At 39.6% G+C, this 20920-nt stretch overlaps 1 protein-coding gene across 3 annotated transcripts in view, besides 1 other annotated feature; it reads left to right on the top strand.

Annotated features, from left to right (window-relative positions):
• Positions 1520 to 2020: an enhancer, noted in NCBI's record as "H3K27ac hESC enhancer chr8:82598306-82598806 (GRCh37/hg19 assembly coordinates)". NCBI's record gives its function as "activates a minimal SCP1, AML or CMV promoter by ChIP-STARR-seq in naive H9 embryonic stem cells {active_cell/tissue: H9 hESC(naive)}" and the evidence as "EXISTENCE:reporter gene assay evidence [ECO:0000049][PMID:30033119]".
• IMPA1 (inositol monophosphatase 1) overlaps positions 1766 to 20920 on the top strand; it is a 29412-nt gene continuing 10257 nt past the window's right edge. Inside the window, exons 1-8 of one of the 3 annotated variants that reach the window (NM_001144878.2) lie at positions 1766 to 1839; positions 2128 to 2328; positions 6507 to 6593; positions 7308 to 7441; positions 8861 to 8965; positions 11812 to 11857; positions 14142 to 14250; positions 17044 to 17152. In NM_001144878.2, the coding sequence (NP_001138350.1) occupies positions 2176 to 2328; positions 6507 to 6593; positions 7308 to 7441; positions 8861 to 8965; positions 11812 to 11857; positions 14142 to 14250; positions 17044 to 17152 (743 nt within the window). In that variant the 5' untranslated portion in view covers positions 1766 to 1839; positions 2128 to 2175. The remainder of the gene's footprint in view (positions 1840 to 2127; positions 2329 to 6506; positions 6594 to 7307; positions 7442 to 8860; positions 8966 to 11811; positions 11858 to 14141; positions 14251 to 17043; positions 17153 to 20920) is intronic. The other 2 variants (NM_005536.4, NM_001144879.2) reach the window with 2 other exon arrangements.

Raw genomic sequence — 20920 nt, 5'->3', positions numbered from 1 at the left:
GGACAGCTGTGTAGAATATGGTTGGACAAAGAGGGTATAACCTAATGCTATTAGACTGGGGAAATCCAGTAAGACCTGTCTGCTTAGATTCTTCTTGGCCTCTCTCCATAGGACCCTCTTTGGAATGGGGGTCTTATGACCTAAACTCAGACAGGGTGAGTCATATAATTTCTTCGTGGTCAGATTTTACATAGAAACACAGGGAGAATGCTAGAGTAATATCTATCTATCTATCTATCTATCTATCTATCTATCTATCTATCTATCTATCTATATCTCTCTCTCTATATATATATATTTTTTTTTTGAGACGGAGGCTCCCTCTGTCGCCCAGGCTGGAGTGCAGTGGCGCGATCTCCACTCACTGGAAGCTCCACCTCCCAGGTTCATGCCATTCTCCTGCCTCAGCCTCCCGAGTAGCTGGGACTGCAGGTGCCAGCCACCACACCCGGCTAATTTTTTTGTGTTTTTAATAGAAACGGGGCTTCACCGTGTTAGCCAGGACGGTCTCGATCTCCTGACCTCGTGATCCGCCTGCCTTGGCCTCCCAAAGTGGTGGGATTACAGGCGTGAGCCACCTTGCCTGGCCTAGAGTAGTATTTTTATGTTTTATGGCTGGCTTTATAAAAAAGGGGTCCTGATTTCTGGGACCTGATTTGGGAAAGAGGAATTCTAGCTTCTATGACTAGTCTGGGGAAGAATGTGGGACCAGAGACAGGAGACCAAAAGGAGTCAGAGGAAAATTTTTCCTTCTAAGGCTGCTTCTGAGGCCTTCATTGTGGGGTATCATTTTCTGAACCCCAAAACTTTGAACTCAGTGTGTTTCACTCTCTGCTCTTGCTGTGTGACCTGAGGACAAATCACTTAACTACTCTGAGCCTCAGTTTCCTCATCTGTCTGACAAAGCTAATCATACCTTTTTCAAGAAACTGTTAAAACTTTAAGGAAAATAATGCATATAAAAACACATTTCGGCCAGGCGTGGTGGCTCATGCCTGTAATCTTTGGGAGGCCGAGGTAGGCGGATCACTTGAGTCCAGGAGTTTGAGACCAGCCTGAGCAACATGGTGAAACCCCGTCTCTACAAGATACAAAAATTAGCCGGGCGTTGTGGCAGGCGTCTGTAATCCCAGCTACTCAGGAGGCTGAGGCATGAGAATCGCTTGAATCCAAGAGGCGGACGTTGCAGTGAGCCGAGATCGCGCCATTGCACTTCAGCCCGGGCGACAAAAGTGAAATTCCGTCTCAAAAAAACAAAACAATAAAACCCCACACAATTGCTTGAAGCATAGTAAGTCCTCAATAAATAGTATGTAAGTAAATTATCAAGAATTGGGCAGTTGGTTCTGGTTATCAGTTTATTTTTTTTTAATCTAGTATAGGTTTACCAGCTTTAGGTTAGCACCTAAAAGCTGCATAATCGGAATCATATCTGCAATCTGGGTTTTGTCAAAATAGTACTATAGAATAAATGGGAGAAAGAAGAAAGCAAGCTAAATGGGAAACCGTGAATGAATGGAGGACGAAAGAAGAAAAAGGCAAAGTAAAGAGAGAAGTAATGTTTAAAAACTGAGAGATGAAAAGACAAGCAGGAGAAAAGAACCAGAAGCTAGAATGAAGAGGCAGTATCCCATGCTCCAGCGCGGGTCAGGACCCGGCCCGGCCTGGCAGAGGCTCGCAGGGCGCAGCTCGGGGCGGGGCCCAGCAAAGCAACCACGCCCCCTCAGGAATGGAGTTTTTAAGGGCGGAACTTCCTGTTGCGAGTAGCCCCTCTACCTCCGGAAGAGACGAGTGCGGTAACACCGTTCACAGAGCTAGCCGGACGTCCTCCGACTCAAGGTGAGACCGTTATTTTCCTCACCGCACCCTCCGGGTTCAGCGGGCGCTGTGGGTTTCCAGGGAGGCCCCTTCCCTCCTCAGGAGCGGGCGCGAGCGCCGTGCGCGGTCGGCGCCTAGGGTGGAGGCAGCCTCTGGGTGACCCCTGCCTGCTGCGTTATCCGGAGCTGCCCTGGGCGACCGGGAACAGTTCCGGCATTGGAGTAGCGGTTCGCTCACGCGACCTCACTTAACCTCTGTGGCGGCTTCTGTGGAATAATTGCCCCTTTTTATGTCCCCAACTCCGAAAAGCTCCTAGAAACTTGGTGCATCCCCAGGCCCAGGTAGTCACTCTAAGTGATGGGGCAGCGCCCAGGTCCTGTGCTGCCCGCAGTCGCGGTGCTGGGACAGGTGGCAAAAAGGAAGGTGGCCTGGCTCCTACGCTGGAAGGCTGTGACCAGGACAGAAACAGCAGGAAACAGTTCAGGTGTTTATGGCTTTGGGAAAATGAAAGTGAGTAAACTACGGACCCTGCCCATCAATAAATGTACTGTGATTTATATATATATAACTATTCATATATTATATATAACTATATATAAAAATATATATAAAATGTACTTATATACTTTATATATAGTACATAAATATACTTATGTATAGTATATATACTTATATATAGTACATAAATATACTTCTGTATACTTATATATAGTACATAAATATACTTACGTATATATACTTATATATAGTACAGAAATATACTTACGTATATATACTTATATATAGTACAGAAATATACTTAGGTATATATACTTATATATAGTACAGAAATATACTTAGGTATACATACTTATATATAGTACCTAAATATACTTAGGTATATATACTTATATATAGTACATAAATATACTTACATATATACTTACATATAGTATATAAATATACTATATGTATAGTACATAAATATACTATGTATAGTATATATACTATATATACTATATATAGTATCTATACTTATGTATAGTATATATAGTATCTAAATATACTTATGTATAGTATATATAGTATCTAAATATACTTATGTATAGTATATATAGTATCTAAATATACTTATGTATAGTATATATACTATATATAGTATCTAAATATACTTAATGTATACTATATATAGTATCTAAATATACTTATTTATAGTATATATATCTAAATATACTTATGTATAGTATATATACTATATATAGTATCTAAATATACTTACGTATAGTATATATAGTATCTAAATATACTTATGTATAGTATATATACTATACATAGTATCTAAATATACTTATGTATAGTATATATACTATACATAGTATCTAAATATACTTATGTATAGTATATATACTATACATAGTATCTAAATATACTTATGTATAGTATATATACTACACATAGATACTATGTATAGTATATATACTCCACATAGTATCTAAATATACTTATGTGTAGTATATATACTCCACATAGTATCTAAATATACTTATGTGTAGTATATATACTCCACATAGTATCTAAATATACTTATGTGTAGTATTTATACTCCACATAGTATCTAAATATACTTATGTGTAGTATATATACTTATGTGTAGTATATATACTTATGTGTAGTATATATATACTAGATATATATATCTAAAGATACTTATGTGTAGTATATATACTACACATTAGTATCTAAAGATACTTATGTGTAGTATATATACTACACATAGTATCTAAAGATACTTATGTGTAGTATACTGTAGTATCTAAAGATACTGTGTGTAGTATACTATATATAGTATCTAAATATACTTATGTATAGTATACTATATATAGTATCTAAATATGTATGGTATATATACTATATATAGTATCTAAATATACTTATGTATGGTATATATACTATATATAGTATCTAAATATACTTATGTATGGTATATATACTATATATAGTATCTAAATATACTTATGTATGGTATACTATATATAGTATCTAAATATACTTATGTATGGTATATATACTATATATAGTATCTAAATATATAGTATATAAAGTATATTTACTGTATTATATATGTGTATGTGTGTGTATGTGTGTGTGTGTGTGTATGTGTGTATGTGTGTGTGTGTGTATATATATATATATATAGTTTGCATCCACCATTCCTGGCTCATAACTCCCATAGCCCTTGACAGGAATCTTGGCCCACCTTTCTGTCTTAGAACTAGCCATGAAGAAATTCTCTGACCTACCTTGTCTGACTGTAGATCGTAAGACCTCCATTTCACAAGGGGTCTTGCCCCATATACAGGAGAAAGGAATGCTGGACAGAGAGGCCAAGATGAATCCGAATGGACAGTCCTTGCTGGGTTTCCACAGTCAGTCTGTTCCATTTGGATCATACTGATTTTGTGGGATCACATTTCTACACAGTTGTCAATCATGCCTATCCAGTGATTATCCAGACTCAGGACCTCAGTTGCTGTCTACTCAAGTAACTTACATGTTTCTACATGGAGGCCATACCTCTCCTGTGAGCTCAGGATCCATGATTCAGCTGCCTAACTGACATCTTTTGATTTTACAGAGGCCTCTCATCTTCCGCTAATTAAACTCCTGATCTCTCAAACTCCTACCTATATCCCAAACTTGACTCTTTTTTTGTTGCTCCCTGTTTCAGTAGACTGTGACGGTTATCCATACAGTTGCCAGAGTGGGAAATCTGGACATCCAGATTCAGAGGAAATCTGAACTCTTCCTGTCCCTGGTACTCTGTAGCCAATCTGTTAGATTCCCTCAAAACAGGTATCTCTGACTCTCTTAACTTCTCTACCAGCAAAACTTCCCTCCCAGGTTTCAGCCAATCATCAGGTATCCTCCCACTACTGCATCCTGAATGTAAATCTGCTGACCCTCTACCAACACCCACTTTCTACCCTTCTGTTGAGTAGCCACAATGAAGTGATTCTTGAAGCCCCTTCAATCAATGTCTTATCCCTAAGGCCCCCCTGTAGAGGATGATCCCCACTACCTCCCCAGCTTTATCTCTCCTGTTTCCCTTAATCTGAGCTGTCACTCTTAGGCTGTTCAGTTAGTCTTCATGTACCAGGCATCCTGCAGTTGATTGAGTTCATGCCTGTTCACTTGTTCTCATCTTGGTTTAATCTTGTCTTCAGGGAAACCTGATCTGATGCCTAAGTCCAGGTGAAAGCTCCCCTGTTAGATGCTTCTCATTGCACTTCTTCTCCTTAACTTATATTATTCCAGTTGTTATTTTGCATGTAGTCTTTAGTTTTTGATTGATATTGAGTCCCCTCCTAGAAAGTGTGAACAGGACCTGATTTTCCTCCCCATGGTGCAGTGTATAGCATACAATAGGTATTCAGTAAACATCTATTGAAGGATGAAGGACATAGTGACTTCTGGGTGGAGAATCCCTAGAAGTAGCTTTTGAAATGGGTCCTGAAGAATTTGTAGAGTTACATTAGTGCTGTTAGAAGGCGGGGGTGTGAGTGGCTTGAGCTGTTTCTGGCAGGAAAGCAGGTACAGCTTGAGAACATCTAGTTCTGTTAAGACTAGTGGAGCAGAATGGGAGTAAGAGTGAAAAAAAAAAGTTTGGAAACAATTCTTGAAGAGCTTGAAGGAGTTGCTTATATGACTCATAGAGTGGCTTCCTTTAAAACAAAATTTTAAAAAATGCTTTAATCAGGAAGAAAAAGCATCAGGAAGAAATTTAGCGTGTGGGTCTTTTGCCCTCCTTTCCACTCCTGTCCTCTTTCCTATAATGTGGGCCCCAAGATAGGAGTTTCTGAATAGTCTTCAAGATGTAACTCTGTGTCTATTATTTTCTATTGGAAAGGAGACAAAATTAGGGTTGTTTTATAAATGGTGCCACAGTTTTTAGTCTGACAGCTTAAAAAGCTTTACTGTGCTAGGTACAGACTTCAGAGTGTGATCAAGCCAGTGGTGAGTTATTTTAGTCTTCAGAAGTCAGTGGAAAACTGGACAGTTTAGAACACAAATATATGTTGGGTTTTTTTTTCCCTCTGTGAAACTCAGGGAAATAAATTTGCTTTTTTCTTATTTTTTTTGGTCCTGGAATTTTCTTTTCTCAGAATGTTATAATAGAAAGAAAAATGGACTTTAAAATCAGAATTGAATTCAAGTTCTGTGTCATTTGTCTGTAATTTTGGGCAAATTATTTCTCATCTCTGAACCTTAAGTTCTTCATCTTTACACATAATTTTTTCAAGTACCTTTTGCTGCTTCCCTTCAAGCTTCTTTTATTTCAGTATTCCCAGTGTTCTTTCTCGTTTTCACTGTATTCTCCTCCAAAATATTATCCTAACTTTTAAAGTATTTCTTGTGTTGTTTCTTATCTATTCTCCAAACGAATGTTTTGGTTTTTTAAAAAAATGTAATATGGTACAGACACACTGGGAAGCAATTTCATAGAATAGTCTTTATGAAAATAATTTGATATAGAAATTAGGTAATTTAGGTGAGAAATGTTTTTTACTGGGTATAGGCATAAATCTTGGGAAAAACTCTAGGGCAGGGGGTGAATCCTGAAATGACAGTCTGTTTCTAATTAAGACGTTTTTGTGAACTAACTATTCTATAATTAAGACTTCTAAGACAGTTATAACTACTTTGTACAGATATTTGTCAAATATTTTCAGAAGATGGCTGATCCTTGGCAGGAATGCATGGATTATGCAGTAACTCTAGCAAGACAAGCTGGAGAGGTATGAGCTAAGATTTTGTCAATTATAATCAATTATAATGTGATTGGTGGGTATACTGTGTTGTTGCCTTGTTTTGTTTGTTTCGATTTGGTTTCTTTTTTTGAAACGGTCTTGCTTGTCACCCAAGCTGGAATGTAGTGGCAGGAACATGGCTCACTCCAGCCTCAACTTCCCAGGCTGGGCTCAAGTAATCCTCCCACTTCAGCCTCCTGAGTAGCTGGGACTACAGCAGGCATGAGCCACCATGTCCAGCTACTTTTCATTTTTTAAATTTTTGTGTGGAGATGAGGGTCTCGCTGTGTTGTCCAGGCTGGTCTTGAATTCCTGGACCACCTTGGCCTCCCAAAGTGCTGGGATTACGTGCGTGAACCACCATACCCAGCCTGCCTTGTTAAATAAAATATACACTTTGATCAATCTACATTTATTTTCATTTTACTAAATACTCTTGCGTGTATACCCTAATTTTATATGATAAAATTTTCTGTGATGACAGTTGTGAATCTAAAATAAGATGTAAGATTATATAATTTTTGTTTTTAGAAAGACGTAACTATTAAAGGCTTATTTTATAGATATATTTGTAAGACATTTTTAAGAATGTCTTTAAAGAATATTATTTAAGACAGATTGAATGTCTTAAACCATTTATGTATTTTATCTTTTTGTTTAAAATTATGCCTTTTCTATTTGCTTACCAAAACCTCTTTTTAGGTAGTTTGTGAAGCTATAAAAAATGAAATGAATGTTATGCTGAAAAGTTCTCCAGTTGATTTGGTAACTGCTACGGACCAAAAAGTTGAAAAAATGCTTATCTCTTCCATAAAGGAAAAGTATCCATCTCACAGGTATTTTTATTTACTGTGTACAAGAAATGTTTATTATCTCACCATTTCTTGGGGTTCTGCATATGAGAGTAGCTTGACTACACGGTTCTTGCCAAGGTCTTCCATGAAGTTACAGTCAAAGTGTTGGTCAAGGCTGCAGTCAACTGAAGGTTGGACTGGAACTGAAGGATCCATTCACTCACGTGATTGTTGGCAGATGTCAGTTCCTGGGGGAGTTGTCTGCTGGTAGCTTCTCTCAGTTCCTTACCATGTAGCCTCTTCACAGAGTAGCTCACGACATGGAAGCTGACATCTCCTAGTCCAGAGCAGGTGGCACAGGAAGGGAGAAACAGAGTGAACCAGATGCAAATTAGAGGGGCATTTTGTGAACTAGTCTCCAAAGTTTTGTATACTGTCACTTACGCTTTATTGGTTAGAAACAAGTATCTGCATAGCTCACGCTCAAGGAAGGAATATTAGGCTCCACCTCTTGAAGGACGGAGAGTATTAGAGAGTGACCTTTTTTTTTTTTTTTTTAGACGGAGACACGCTCTGTCAGGCAGGCTGGAGTGCAGTGGCATGATCTCACCTCACTGCAACCTCCACCTCCCAGGTTCAAGTGATTCTCCTGCCTCAGCCTCCTGAGTAGCTGGGATTACAGGTGCATGCCACCACGCCTGGCTTATTTTTGTATTTTTAATAGAGACGGGGTTTCACCATGTTGGTCAGGCTGGTGTTGAACTCCTGACCTCATGGTCCGCCCGCCTCAGCCTCCCAAAGTGTTAGGATTACAGACCTGAGCCACCACACCTGGCCCCTATTTTTAAAATCATTACATTTCCTTAATGATTTCTTATCTGCCGCAAATGTGTGTGTGCACACACCTTACCCTAGTATAACATCTTATAATTTGAATTTTGAAATTTTTCACATCGCTTTATTCATGGGGAAATAAATTAAAGCTTCCTTACATTTATCAGTCTTTACCTGAAGGAAGAAGAAGCAACAATAGAAAAGTGTAGGGTACAGACTTTTGCTATTTTTTTTTTTTTTTTCCTGAGACAGAGTCTCTCTCAGTTACCCAGGCTGGAGTGCAGTGGCACGATCTCGGCTCACTGCAACCTCCGCCTACCAGGCTAAAGCCATTCTCCTGCCTCAGCCTTCCAAGTTGCTGGGATTACAGGCGCCTGCCACCATGCCCGGCTAATTTTTGTATTTTTAATAGAGATGGGGTTTCACCACATTGGCCAGGCTGGTCTTGAACTCCTGACTCAGGTGATCCGCCCTCCCTGGCCTCCCAAAGTGCTGGGATTACAGGCGTGAACCTCCACACCTCGCCTGCTATGTTTTATAGTACTCTGTGTAGCTAAGGAAATGTTATGATTTGGAAATTGTTGAAATCAGTGTAAAGATTAAGAGTTTGTCCTACTTGGCTTTTAGTTTCATTGGTGAAGAATCTGTGGCAGCTGGGGAAAAAAGTATCTTAACCGACAACCCCACATGGATCATTGACCCTATTGATGGAACAACTAACTTTGTACATAGGTATGTTTTAAAATGTCTAATATAATTACTCTTTGCATATTAACTGGATTGACCTATAGATACTCTATTTAGGAACATGTACACTTTAGAAAATTGTATACTTCGTTTATGCTTCTTTATTCTAATAAAGTATATATAAAATGTAAAAGTGGAGCAAAATGTATTATGCAGACTTATCAGATATGGAGGAGGTAAAGAAATACTAATGTGATCTTGTCCTGTGGTGCCAAGTGCCCCGTTCACCATTCTTTTTCCCACTGTTGGCACTATCTAAAAAGGGAAGCAAACAACATTGCTGCTTTGAGAGTGGGAAGGGCACTTTGCACTGCATGCCATTTTCTATTCTTTGAGTGGCATGTACCATAGATCTATATGGATCTACTAATATGCATCTATTAGTAGTAACTATGTAAAAATATGGTTTTTTTTTTTTAAGATGGAGTTTCCCTCTTGTTGGCCAGGCTGAGATGCAATGGCGCAGTCTTGGCTCACTGCAACCCCCACCTCCCGGGTTCAAGCGATTCTTCTGCCTCAGCCTGCCAAGTAGGTGGGATTACAGGCACCTGCCACCACACCCGACTAATTTTTGTATTTTTAGTAGAGGCGGGGTTTCACCATGTTGGCCAGGCTGGTCTTGAACTCCTGACCTCAGGTGATCCTCCTGCCTCAGCCTCCCAAAGTGCTGGGATTACAGGCGTGAACCACTGCACCTGGCCAAAGATATGTTTTCAAAGAATAAAAATAAATTTAAAAAATTATAAACTGACTATGTTAAAAAGATTGTATTTTAGTAAAACTAATGAAGTCACTCTTGGGGAGTGCTGTCGATATAGAATGAGTTCAGTCCAGGAGAAAAAACACGGTTAAAAAGTGCAGAGGAGGCCCCTCTCCTCAGCCCTTAGGGTGACGGGGATGGGGATGGGGCTGGGGCTGGGGCCGGCAAAAAAAAAAAAATTGCATGGGTGTTAGGATGAATAGACGTGCATTCTGGTATTTTTTTACGGCTTTTTCACCTTAGGCAAGTTAGTTAACTTTTCTAGGCCACAATGTTAAAAAACATTTATAAAAAGGCCGTATTAATAGCACTTGCCTCGTAGAATTGTAACTCAACTCTATGAGTAGTACATTAATGTAAGAACTTAGTATAGTGCCGACACAGAGTAGGTATATGATATTACTAGAAGAAAGCCTGGTGGAATTGCCCATGAGAGTTAAAATCAGTAGCCGCTTCTGGTGGGATTACATATAGATGTCATATTTGAAGTTCCCATGTAGTTGTACACATCTGTACTATATATACAATCCTTGAAATCTACAAAGCTAAGGTTTAGAATCTATATGTGATAGAATGTTATATCTTTTAAATGTGGAAAGATGCTAATATATTTTCACAGAAGAGAAGACAGTACAATACAGTGTGTATAGTATCTTATTTTTGTTAAAATAAAAACTTTCTTACATATTTAAAAGTTTTTATTTTCAACAGCTTTAGCTTCAATAGTTGAATGTTGATCTTGTCTATTTCCTTGATCTTAATTCTCTTGTGAGTCAGCAGTTACAACCTGTGTTCAGACTGTCATGCAGCTATGGAAAAATTTTGGCTCAAAGTCTACTTTTCAGAGGCCAAGCCTAAAGTTTGCTGTTGGAGTAGAGACAAGTAACAGCCATTTATTTTGTCCAGTGCAGTATTTGTGTTTATCACGGTGTAGGACATAGGAAAAAAACATCACAGGCCAGGCGCGGTGGCTCATGCCTGTAATCCCAGCACTTTGGGAGGCCAAGGTGGGTGGATAACCTGAGGTCGGGAGTTCGAGACTAGCCTGACCAACATGGAGAAACCCCGTCTCTACGTAAAATACAAAATTAGCCGGGTATGGTGGCACATGCTTGTAATCCCAGCTACTTGGGAGGCTGAGGCAGGAGAATCACTTGAACCCGGGAAGTGGAGGTTGCAGTGGGCTGAGATCGTGCCATTGCACTCCAGCCTGGGCAACAAGAGCTTAACTTCGTCTCCAAAAAAAAAAAAAATCACTAAAATATATGCTTTTTAACCAAATCGATTTAAAAGTTTTTACAGTTTTCTTTTTTAACCAAATTGATTTAAAAGTTTTTACATTTTGGCTTTTTTTTTAAAGGGGGACAGCATCTCTGTCACCCAGGCTGGCATGCAGTGGCATGACTATGGCTCACTGCAGCCTTGACCTTCTGGGCTCAAGGGATCCTTCTGCCTCAGCCTACCGGGGAAGCTTGGACTATAGGCGTGCACCGCCACACTCAGATAATTTCGTGACTTTTTTTTTGTAGAAACAGGATCTTGCCATGTTGCCCAGCCAGGCTGGTCTCGAACTCCTGGGCCCAAGTGATCTTCCTGCTTTGGCCTGCTAAATTAGTGCTGGGAGGAGTGAGCCGCTGTGCGTGGCCATGAAAAAATATTTTTACATAGCTACTATATTCATAGAATTTGACCTTCAAAAGATAGAAAACGCAGTGCAAAATGCCCTTCACACTTCCATTTCTGGTTTCCCAGGATCCATCTCTGGAGATGACCACTGTTACAAGTTTCTCGTGAATCCTTTCAGAGATGTTTCATGCCTATAGAAGCATCCTGTGTGAACGTGTGCCTGTGTGTTGGGGGGAGGGTGTGTGTGTATAATACCTCCACTTTATCCTATTTACAAAGGGTTGTATACCATACAAACTGTTTTGCATCTTAGATTTTGTGGGGAGTGGAGATGAGACTTTTTATAGGAAAAATTTTAAGAACACTTATATTATGAAAAGATTAATTTTATTAACAAAAGTTCTATGTTGGTTAATTTGTATTTTGTCCTTTTTTTTAAAAAAAGATTTCCTTTTGTAGCTGTTTCAATTGGCTTTGCTGTAAATAAAAAGGTATGATTTTTTAAACGTATAGTTGATTATATGCCTTGCTCTCATTTTCTGAGAAAAAGTAAATGTGTTTTCATAATAAATTCAGGTTTGTCTGTATATTTGATTATATAACTGCATTATTTTGAATATAAGCTACAGGACTGTTAAAATTTTCATGATACATTTGCATTGGATAAAATTTTATGTATTCTGAGAAGCAGGAGTTGTAAGAAGAAAATACACACAAGTAACTGAAATACAACTCAGTATTTAGTAACCATTATATGTGTGATAGAGTCAGATGGGATAGAAGTTTATATGTGATCTTAAATGCTTCGTGGAAGAGGTGAGATTTGAGCTGGGAATGCTTTAGTAGGTGTTAGTGAAGAAATACATTTAGAAACCAGCAAGTAGCAGGGGCCAAAGCATGGTTGGAAAATACAGACTCTCTTTAGGAACCTACACATAGTTCAGGTTGTCTTATGTGTAAATACTTACATCTAAAGCCTAGCAGAATAAAACATATAGCTATAGCATTTCCTTGCTGTTTGGCTCCTTAGTTGGTCAAACAGTAAAGGATGGTTACTAACATTTTACCTACCTATCTTCAAGGAACTTTTGATATGTAAGATCAACATGTATAACAGCAGTTATAACATTTCTGAATATAAAACACATATTGGACAAATGACAGCTTAGCCCCAGGGTTGTATTAATTAATGAGAATGTCCAGAAGAAGCTACATGAGCTTTCAGTATATAATCAGCTCTGGGCTGTATGCTGGCCCTGCCACTGAACTCAACAGCTCAGCACAAAGTTAGATGTGTGAACAGGTAAAGATGATATGTGGTAGAACCATGAAAAAAAATACTATGGGAACACAGGATGTCACCAGTTCTGCTGAGAGTGGGTTGGGAAAATCTTCATAACAGCAGGGGTCTTAGAAGTTGATCATGTGTTGGCCCTTAGAAAACTAGGGGTTTCCAGATTGGCGGGGGTGGGGGGGTGGTGGGAAGAGGAAGGCGTTTTAATCAGAAAGAACAGCTTGGAGAAATTGAAGACCATTATACGTGTGGGGAATGGTGAGATGTTCATGGAGAGGGAAGCACTGCAAGTGGCCAGGACAAAGGTTAGTTTGGCCTTGCTGTGAGGCACTGTGGCCAGTCCATGCAAGAAAATTTAGTTTGTGTTTCAAGGTAGTTGGGAACCAGTAGAGGTTTTGAAGTGGAAAGTGACAGATAATTCTAGCAATGTAGAGATTATACTGGGGTGTGGGTGAACTAAGTAGAGGCAGTGAGAATAGCCAAGGAAATGCCAAAATTGGAAAGTGTTTTTGAGATTAAATTTGAAGGAGATTTATGGGGAAGGAATGGGAGGTGATCAGGCAATGAATGATTTTGTCTTTGAAATTCTGCAAGACTAGGTTTGGAACCGTAGGTTCTTCCCCCGATTATGAGGTTGATGGGAGCCAAAATGAATTTGTGGACTGTAAAAAACCAACCTGTGTGAATATGGAGAGCTAAAAGGGAAATGGAAGCAATGGGAGAAGGAAGAAAAAAGCCTGAGGTGCCTAACTTTTCAGGGTGAGGCAGAAAAGAATGTTCTAAAATCATAACTGAAACGAATTAGTAGGTGAGGTAGAACTAAGAGAATAATGGTGGGAGCATGGAGGTAGTGAATTAAGTATTGAATAAGTCTTGAGCCAGTAGACTCCAATTCTTCAGACAAGGCATTTGAGGCAACAAAGAAAGTTTGTTGATACTCTCTTTGTGGGACTTTCAGAAGAATGAGTGATCAGGGCAGAAGCCACATTGTAATGTATTAAGAGGAGAATAGGAGATGCAAAGTTACTCATTGGCAGTGAAGGGAAAAGGATAGAATAACATTTCAAAGGTTTTGTAAGGAGGAGAGAAACTTAATGAGAAGGTATAAGAAGAAAAATCCAAGAGACTAGGGAATCAGCTGATGGAGCAGTTTTTCAGAGAATGTATGTGAGGGTAGGAGTCCTAACACCGGAGAAGCGTTCACTTAGAAAATAGGAAAGCCCTGTCTTCCGAAGCAGGAGGAAGAGAAGTAAGGTGGGTGTTCTTAGATCTGGACTTGGATGGGAGGAGAGTCAAGGATATCAGTTCTGGTGACCTCTTTCTCTTGATTAGTCTGGAAATTAACATTTTAAGTATCCCACAGTTTAGCCATTTCAGTCCATTGTTACTAGTCAGTATACCAGATTGTCTTGTTATTTTCTTAGAAAAAAGTGGATGAAACATACTTAGGTTTGGTAAAGGAAACTTGTTTTCCTCTGCAGATAGAATTTGGAGTTGTGTACAGTTGTGTGGAAGGCAAGATGTACACTGCCAGAAAAGGAAAAGGTGCCTTTTGTAATGGTCAAAAACTACAAGTTTCACAACAAGAAGGTAGGATTAATTCCAATTTTTGATGCTATTCATATTGTGTGCTCAATATTTTATTGTTTTTTAATATTCACCTATGGAATTCTCCAGGTGTTAACTGATTCATAAATTGTGTTTATTATCTCTTTATTCTTTTTGACTTCAGCTTTGAATGTGGAATGGAAGTAGGGAAAGAAATGTAATTGAGCAAACACTTCAGGCTCAGCATTGTATTTTGTGATAGAGATAGGAAGATGATTAAGACTGGCTTCCTATTGTGAACCCAAAATATCTGAGACAGGTCTCAATCAGTTTAGAAGTTTATTTTGCCGAAGTTAAGGAGTTAAGGTGACACAGCCTCAGGAGGTCCTGACGACATGTGCCCGAGGTGGTTGGGGTACGGCTTCCTTTTATACATTTTAGGGAGTCGTGAAACATCAATATGTGTAAGATGTACATAAAGGCAGGACAACTAGAAGTGGGGAAGGGGGCGGTGTTCAGGTTATAGGTAGATAAAAGACAAATGATTATATTCTTTTAAGTCCGTAATCAGCCTTTAAATACACAATTGAGTCTGGCTCAGTGAATCTGCATTTTTACATAAACAATAGGGCAGATGAAGCAATCAGATATGAATTTGTCTCAGGCGAGCAGAGGGATGACTTTCTCTCCCACACCTGTGAAGATAAGCTATCAGTCTACATTGCCAGGGCAAAATTCAGCCAGAACTGTTTTAGGGTAAAGATCTTGAGGTCCACAAGGAATTTCCTTGTGGGCAAATTGTAAGGGAGGTATGTAGCTCTTTTGTCTTTGTAGGTGTCTTATTTAGGAATTAAATGGGAGGCAGGTTTGCCTGACATAGTTCCCAGCTTGACTTTTCCCTTGGCTTAGTGTTTTTTGGGTCCTCAGATTTATTTTCCTTTCACACTGTCCTTGTGGAATTCATGGTTTATGTTTTATCTACTGCTTCTAAAATTCTTTATAGAATTCCTCTGATCTGATGCCCCAGGACCAATTACTACAAAGTAAATGGGTGGAAAAAAAGCCCGTTAAAGCTGGGAATCACTGAAAATGAGACATATATATTTTATAAGCTGAATGGCAATTTAAGTTCTTTCTTCTCTATTACATCTGTTGGCCTCAAAAAAGGAAGTGCAGGCAAAATTAATGTAGAGAGTTTATTTGGGCCAAAGTTGAGGACTGCAGCCCAGGACACACTTCTAGATTACCTTGGAGAGTGCTCCAGAGAACTTAGCAGAGGCTCAGGTTTTTAAAGAAAAAGGGACACACTGGGAGAGGGGATGATGAGAAAAGTTGTACTCAGGAATTCTCATTTGTTTACAGAAATAACATTGCTTAGTGATTGGCTATACACTGTTGAATTATAGGGTGCATGGCATTTTATGGCTGCTTGGCATCAGTGAGTCTAGAGCCCCCTGTAGCAAGCGGCTTCAAGTGGCAATTATTTAACTCCAGGGGAGTGAGACTGTCTGCTGGTATATTTTAAATGCCTCTTCAGGCTTGATAATTTAAAGGTACTGGCATTCTGCAGATTAAAACTTTTCTTTTTCTTTCTCACAGCTTATTGAGGTTTTGAGTTACTGTTCTTCCATAAACCACACCAAACATTTTCCACAGTTTGCACATTGAAATTCTTTTCAGTGCAGCAAGAACTTAGAGGTACTTGCAAAACAATTTGAGTTTAGAATCTTTCTAGACTTTTATACCTTTTTCCCTCAAACACTTAATTTAAGAGCAGATTTTTAGGCTATTTCCTTTTCATTAAAATCTAAGACCCCATGAAATGGAGGATGCATTCTTATTTTTCTAGATGTCATCATGTGAGAAAATACAAATCTTGGACCGAAGGAATATGGTAGCTTTGATAGAAACAACTCTTTTCCTTTGCATAGTCATTCTTCACTTTACAAAGTATTAAATTATGTAACTTTTATTTTTTTTCCTCCCGAGACAGAGTCTTGCTCTGTTGCCCAGGCTGGAGTGCAGTGGCGTGATCTCGGATCACTGCAACCTCCGCCTCCCGGGTTTAAGCTATTCTCCTGCCTCAGCCTCCGGAGTAGCTGGGATTACAGGTGCGCACCACCATGCCCAACTAATTTTTTGTATTTTTAGTAGAGATGGGGTTTCACCATGTTGGCCAGGCTGGTCTCGAACTCCTGACCTCGTGATCTGCCTGCCTCCGCCTCCCAAAGTGCTGGGATTACAGGTGTGAGCCACCATGCCCAGCCCTAAATTACGTAACTATTAAATGTAGTACAACAGTTACAGAAATGCTCAGATCAAACACAGCTGGTGAACATACATCTCCATTGGTGGGAGGAGGTGAGATCTAGGGTGTTGGGTGTGTCCTGAGCTTCAAATGGAAAACCTTGGATAACCTGTCAGCCTTGTAAATGGATGTCAGAGAATTTTACTTTTGTTGTAAAAGTAAAATTTTTACTTTTACTGTAATTTTACTGTAATTTGTTTTCTTCCAAATCTATACATAAATCCCTTATTGAATTTAGTCTCTCCTTTTTAAATATTTAAGACATTTGCTGTTTCCCACTAAGTATTATGTATGCAGGCAAATTGGTTACATTATGTACTTTTTCAGGAAGGGCCTAAGCAGCTGGACTCTGATGCTTATAAAAAGGATCACATAGGGATAATTAATTTATCAGTATTTTATTATTTAAATGCTTATAAAGAAACACGATAAAACAAGGAAGAGGGATACAAATGCCCTCTTCTGAATTACAAGTGTCAGGTATTTTCTAGAAGTCTAAATATTGAAACCTAACACTTTCTTTTTAGATATTACCAAATCTCTCTTGGTGACTGAGTTGGGCTCTTCCAGAACACCAGAGACTGTGAGAATGGTTCTTTCTAATATGGAAAAGCTTTTTTGCATTCCTGTTCATGGGTAAGCTCTTTACCATTATTCTATCTCTCTCTTTGTATACGTGTGTGTGTGCACACACCTTTTTTTTTTCCTGTACCATTTTAGAGTAAATTATATACATCATGGTTTCTAAAGAATAGGGAGATTCTGTTCCATAACCATGAAACCACTGATTTCATAAATACACTTTTTATCTAATTTGTCATCCATATTCAGTTTTGTCAGTTAATCTGCTAATGTCCTTTATAGCATTTGCCTTCCAATAAAGTAGGATTCAGTCTAGAGTCAGCATTATTTTTAGGTGTCATGTCTCCTTAGCCTTCTTTGATCTGGAACATTTCCACAGCCTATGAAATTACTTCCTTTAAGTTTTCAAATTATTTGCATAGAAGTCTGTAAGATAGACTCTTATAATTAATTTCTGGCTTCTCTATATCAGTGGTTATTTCCACCTTGTCACTTATTTTGTCTATTTGTGCTTTTTTTCTTGTTCTTTTTTCTCAAAGAACCAGGATTTTAATTTAAGCTGGTTTTTTCTTTTCTGCACTATTATTTTCATCTTCGTGCTTTCTTTTGGTTTGTTTCCTTTTTTTTCCTTTTTGATTAGAAAATTTATTATAATTCCTTTATGTTTATTGATGTAGATATTTAGGCTATGAATTTCATCTGATCATTGTTTTCATTGTATCCCATAAATACTGATACTTACTGTTTTCATTATTTTTTTCATAAATTCTGTAATTTGCTTGTATTTCCTCTTTTACTGAGAGTTATATTCTTAAATTTTCACAAGGAGAGTCTGTCTTAGTCCATTTTCTGTTGCTTATAATACCTGAAACTTGGTAATGTGTATGTATAAAGAAAAGGAATTTATTTCTTTCAGTTATAGAGGCTCAGAAGCCCAAGGCTGAGGAGCTGCATCTGATGAGGGCCTTCTTGCTGGATTCTTTGTAGAGTCCTGAGGCAGCACAGAATGTGACATGGTGGGGCTGAGCATGCTAGCTCAGGTCTCTGTTCTTCTCTTTATAAAGCCACCAGTCCTAGTCCTATGATGACTCATTAATCTATTAACCCATGAGTGGATTAATCCATTCATGAGGGCATAGCCCTCTTAGAGACCCCACCTTTCAGTACTGCTAGATTGGAGATTAAGTTTCCATATGAGTTTTGGAGGGAACAAACATTCAAACCACAGCATTCCACCCCTGACACTCCCCAGATTTGTCTTTTTCCATACAAATACACTCATTCCATCCCCAGGGTCCCAAAGTCTTCACTTGTTCTATCATGAACTTAAAAGTTTAAAGTCCACAGTCTCATTTGTGAGCCTGTGAAATCAAAACAAGCTATCTGCTTCAAAGATACAATAGTGACACAGGCATAAGACAGGCATTCCCATTCCAAAACGGAAAATTAGGCAAAAAGAAAGAACAGGCGCTAGGCAAGTCCAGAATTCCAGCAGGGCAGACATGAAATCTTAAAGCTCAAGAATAATCACTTTTGACTGCATGTACCACCTCATGGAGACACTGGGGGTTGAGGGCTGGGTAAAGGCCTCTGGCAGCCCTGCCCCTGTGGCTTTGCAGGGTACAGCCCATATGGCTACTGGCATGGGTTGGAGTCCAGTGCCTGAAGCTTTCCAAGGTGTACCTTGCATGCTGCTGGTGACTCCACAGTTCTGAGGCCCAGGTAGTGGTCCTGCTTTCATGGCTCCACTAGTTAGGCATTACCCTAGTGGGGACTCTCTGTGGTGGCCTTACTTCCTGGGCTCTACTAGGCTTTACCTTGGTGGAGATTCTCAGCTACCACTAACCCCACAGTTCCACTGTGGCTCTGCCCTTGAGACAAGTCTGTTCCCTGGCTCCCAGGCTTCTGAGGACAATCTTTGAGGCCAAGTGGAGGCTGGAAAGCCTCTACAGCTCTTCCTTTATGCAAGCTTGCAGAATTAGTATCATACTGCTAACATTTACAACTTATACCTTGTAGAGATGTGGTATAAGCCACACCTAGGGTCACTTGACCTTGGCTGGGATGTAGGGAGCACAGTCTAGGGTGGCCCTGGGCAGCCAGCATTGGAGAGTATCCCAGGCCTGTTCCATGAAACCATTCTACCCTCCTTTGGGCCTGTAAAGGGAGGGGCAGCCTTGAAGATCTCTTAAATGCCTTCGGGTTCTTTCTTTCATTGTCTTTAGAAGTAACACCTGGCTCCCTTGTAGCTGTGCTAATCTATTTAGCAAATGGTTCCTGGCTAACCCTCGGTTTCCTCCTTTGAACACACCTTTTCACTCTTGGCCAGGCTGAGTTTTCCAAATTTTTTTGCTCTGCTTCCTTTCTTTTTGGTTGTTTGTTTGTTTGTTTTGTTTTTTGGAGATGGGTTCTCACTCTCTTGCCCAGGCTGGATTGCAGTGGTGCAATTATAGCTCAGTGCAGCCTCAACCTCCTGGGCTCAAGCAGTCCTCCTACTTCAGCCTCCCAAGTAGCTGTGACCACAGGTTTGCATCACCACATCCAGTTAATTTTTATATTTGTGGTATTTTGTATAAAAATGGGGTTCGCCGTGCAGCCCAGGCTGATCTCCAACTCCTGGGCTCAAGCGATCTGCCCAAGTTGGCTTCCCAAAATGCTGGCATTATAGGTGTGAGCCACTGCATCTGGCCACTCTGCTTCCCCTTTAATTATTCATTTGTCTTTAAATTACTTCTTTGCTTGCAAATCTCAGCATAAATGGTCAAAAGTAACCATGCAGCTACTTCTATAATTTGTTTAGAAATTTTTTTCTGCCAGATACCCTAATTCATTACTCTCAAGTTTAGGCTTTCAGGAAACCCTGTCAAGTTGGCTGGCCATGGTGGCTCACGCCTGTAATCCCAGCACTTTGAGAGGCTGAGGCAGGTGGATCACGAGGTCAGGAGATCGAGACCATCCTGGCTAACACGGTGAAACCCTGTCTCTACTAAAAATACAAAAAATTAGCCAGGCGTGGTGGCGGGCGCTTGTAGTCCCAGCTACTCCGGAGGCTGAGGCAGGAGAATGGCGTGAAACTGGGAGGCGGAGCTTGCAGTGAGCCGAGATCGTGTCACTGCACTCCAGCCTGGGTAACAGAGTGAGACTCCATCTCAAAAAAAAAAAAAAAGAAACCCTTAGTCATAGACACAGTTCAGACAAGTTCTTTGCCAGTTTATAACCAGGATGGCCTTTCCTCCAGGATCCGATACCTTGTTCCTCAGTTTTATCTGAGACCACATCAGAATACTGTTCCTATTTTTATTAGCATTCTGGTCAGAGCTACTTAACTCAATCTCTAAGGCATTCCAAACTTTCCCTGGCCTTGTCTTCTAAGCCCTCACCAAAATCTCCCTTAATGCTTCATTCACGGAAATGCAGGCATTTTCTAGCCTGCTCCTCTGAATTCTTCTGTCTTCTACCTATTACCCATTTCAAAGCCGCTTCTGTTTGTTAATCAGCATCACCCCACCCTTAACCTATAAGCCATGAACCTAGAAGGCAAAGCCCTCATGACCTAATACCTCTTAAAAGGACCCCACACCAGTACTGCCACATTGGGGATTAAGTTTCAACATGCGTTTTGGAGGGGACAAACATTCAACCATAGCAGACACCTTTTTGGATTTTTAAAAATTTCATCTTTAATCTCCAGTTTTATTACATTTTAACAGTTCTACTTTCTGAAACCTACTGATGGTTTCCTTGTGCCCTGTTCTGTGATCAATTTTTGTAAGTTTCATATGCACTGAAAAATAGTATAATTCCCTATTTCCAGGGTATGAC

The sequence above is a fragment of the Homo sapiens genome, chromosome 8 (assembly GCF_000001405.40).
Source record: "Homo sapiens chromosome 8, GRCh38.p14 Primary Assembly".
Taxonomy (NCBI): Eukaryota; Metazoa; Chordata; class Mammalia; order Primates; family Hominidae; genus Homo; species Homo sapiens.
This window is presented reverse-complemented; position numbering and strand designations above follow the sequence as displayed.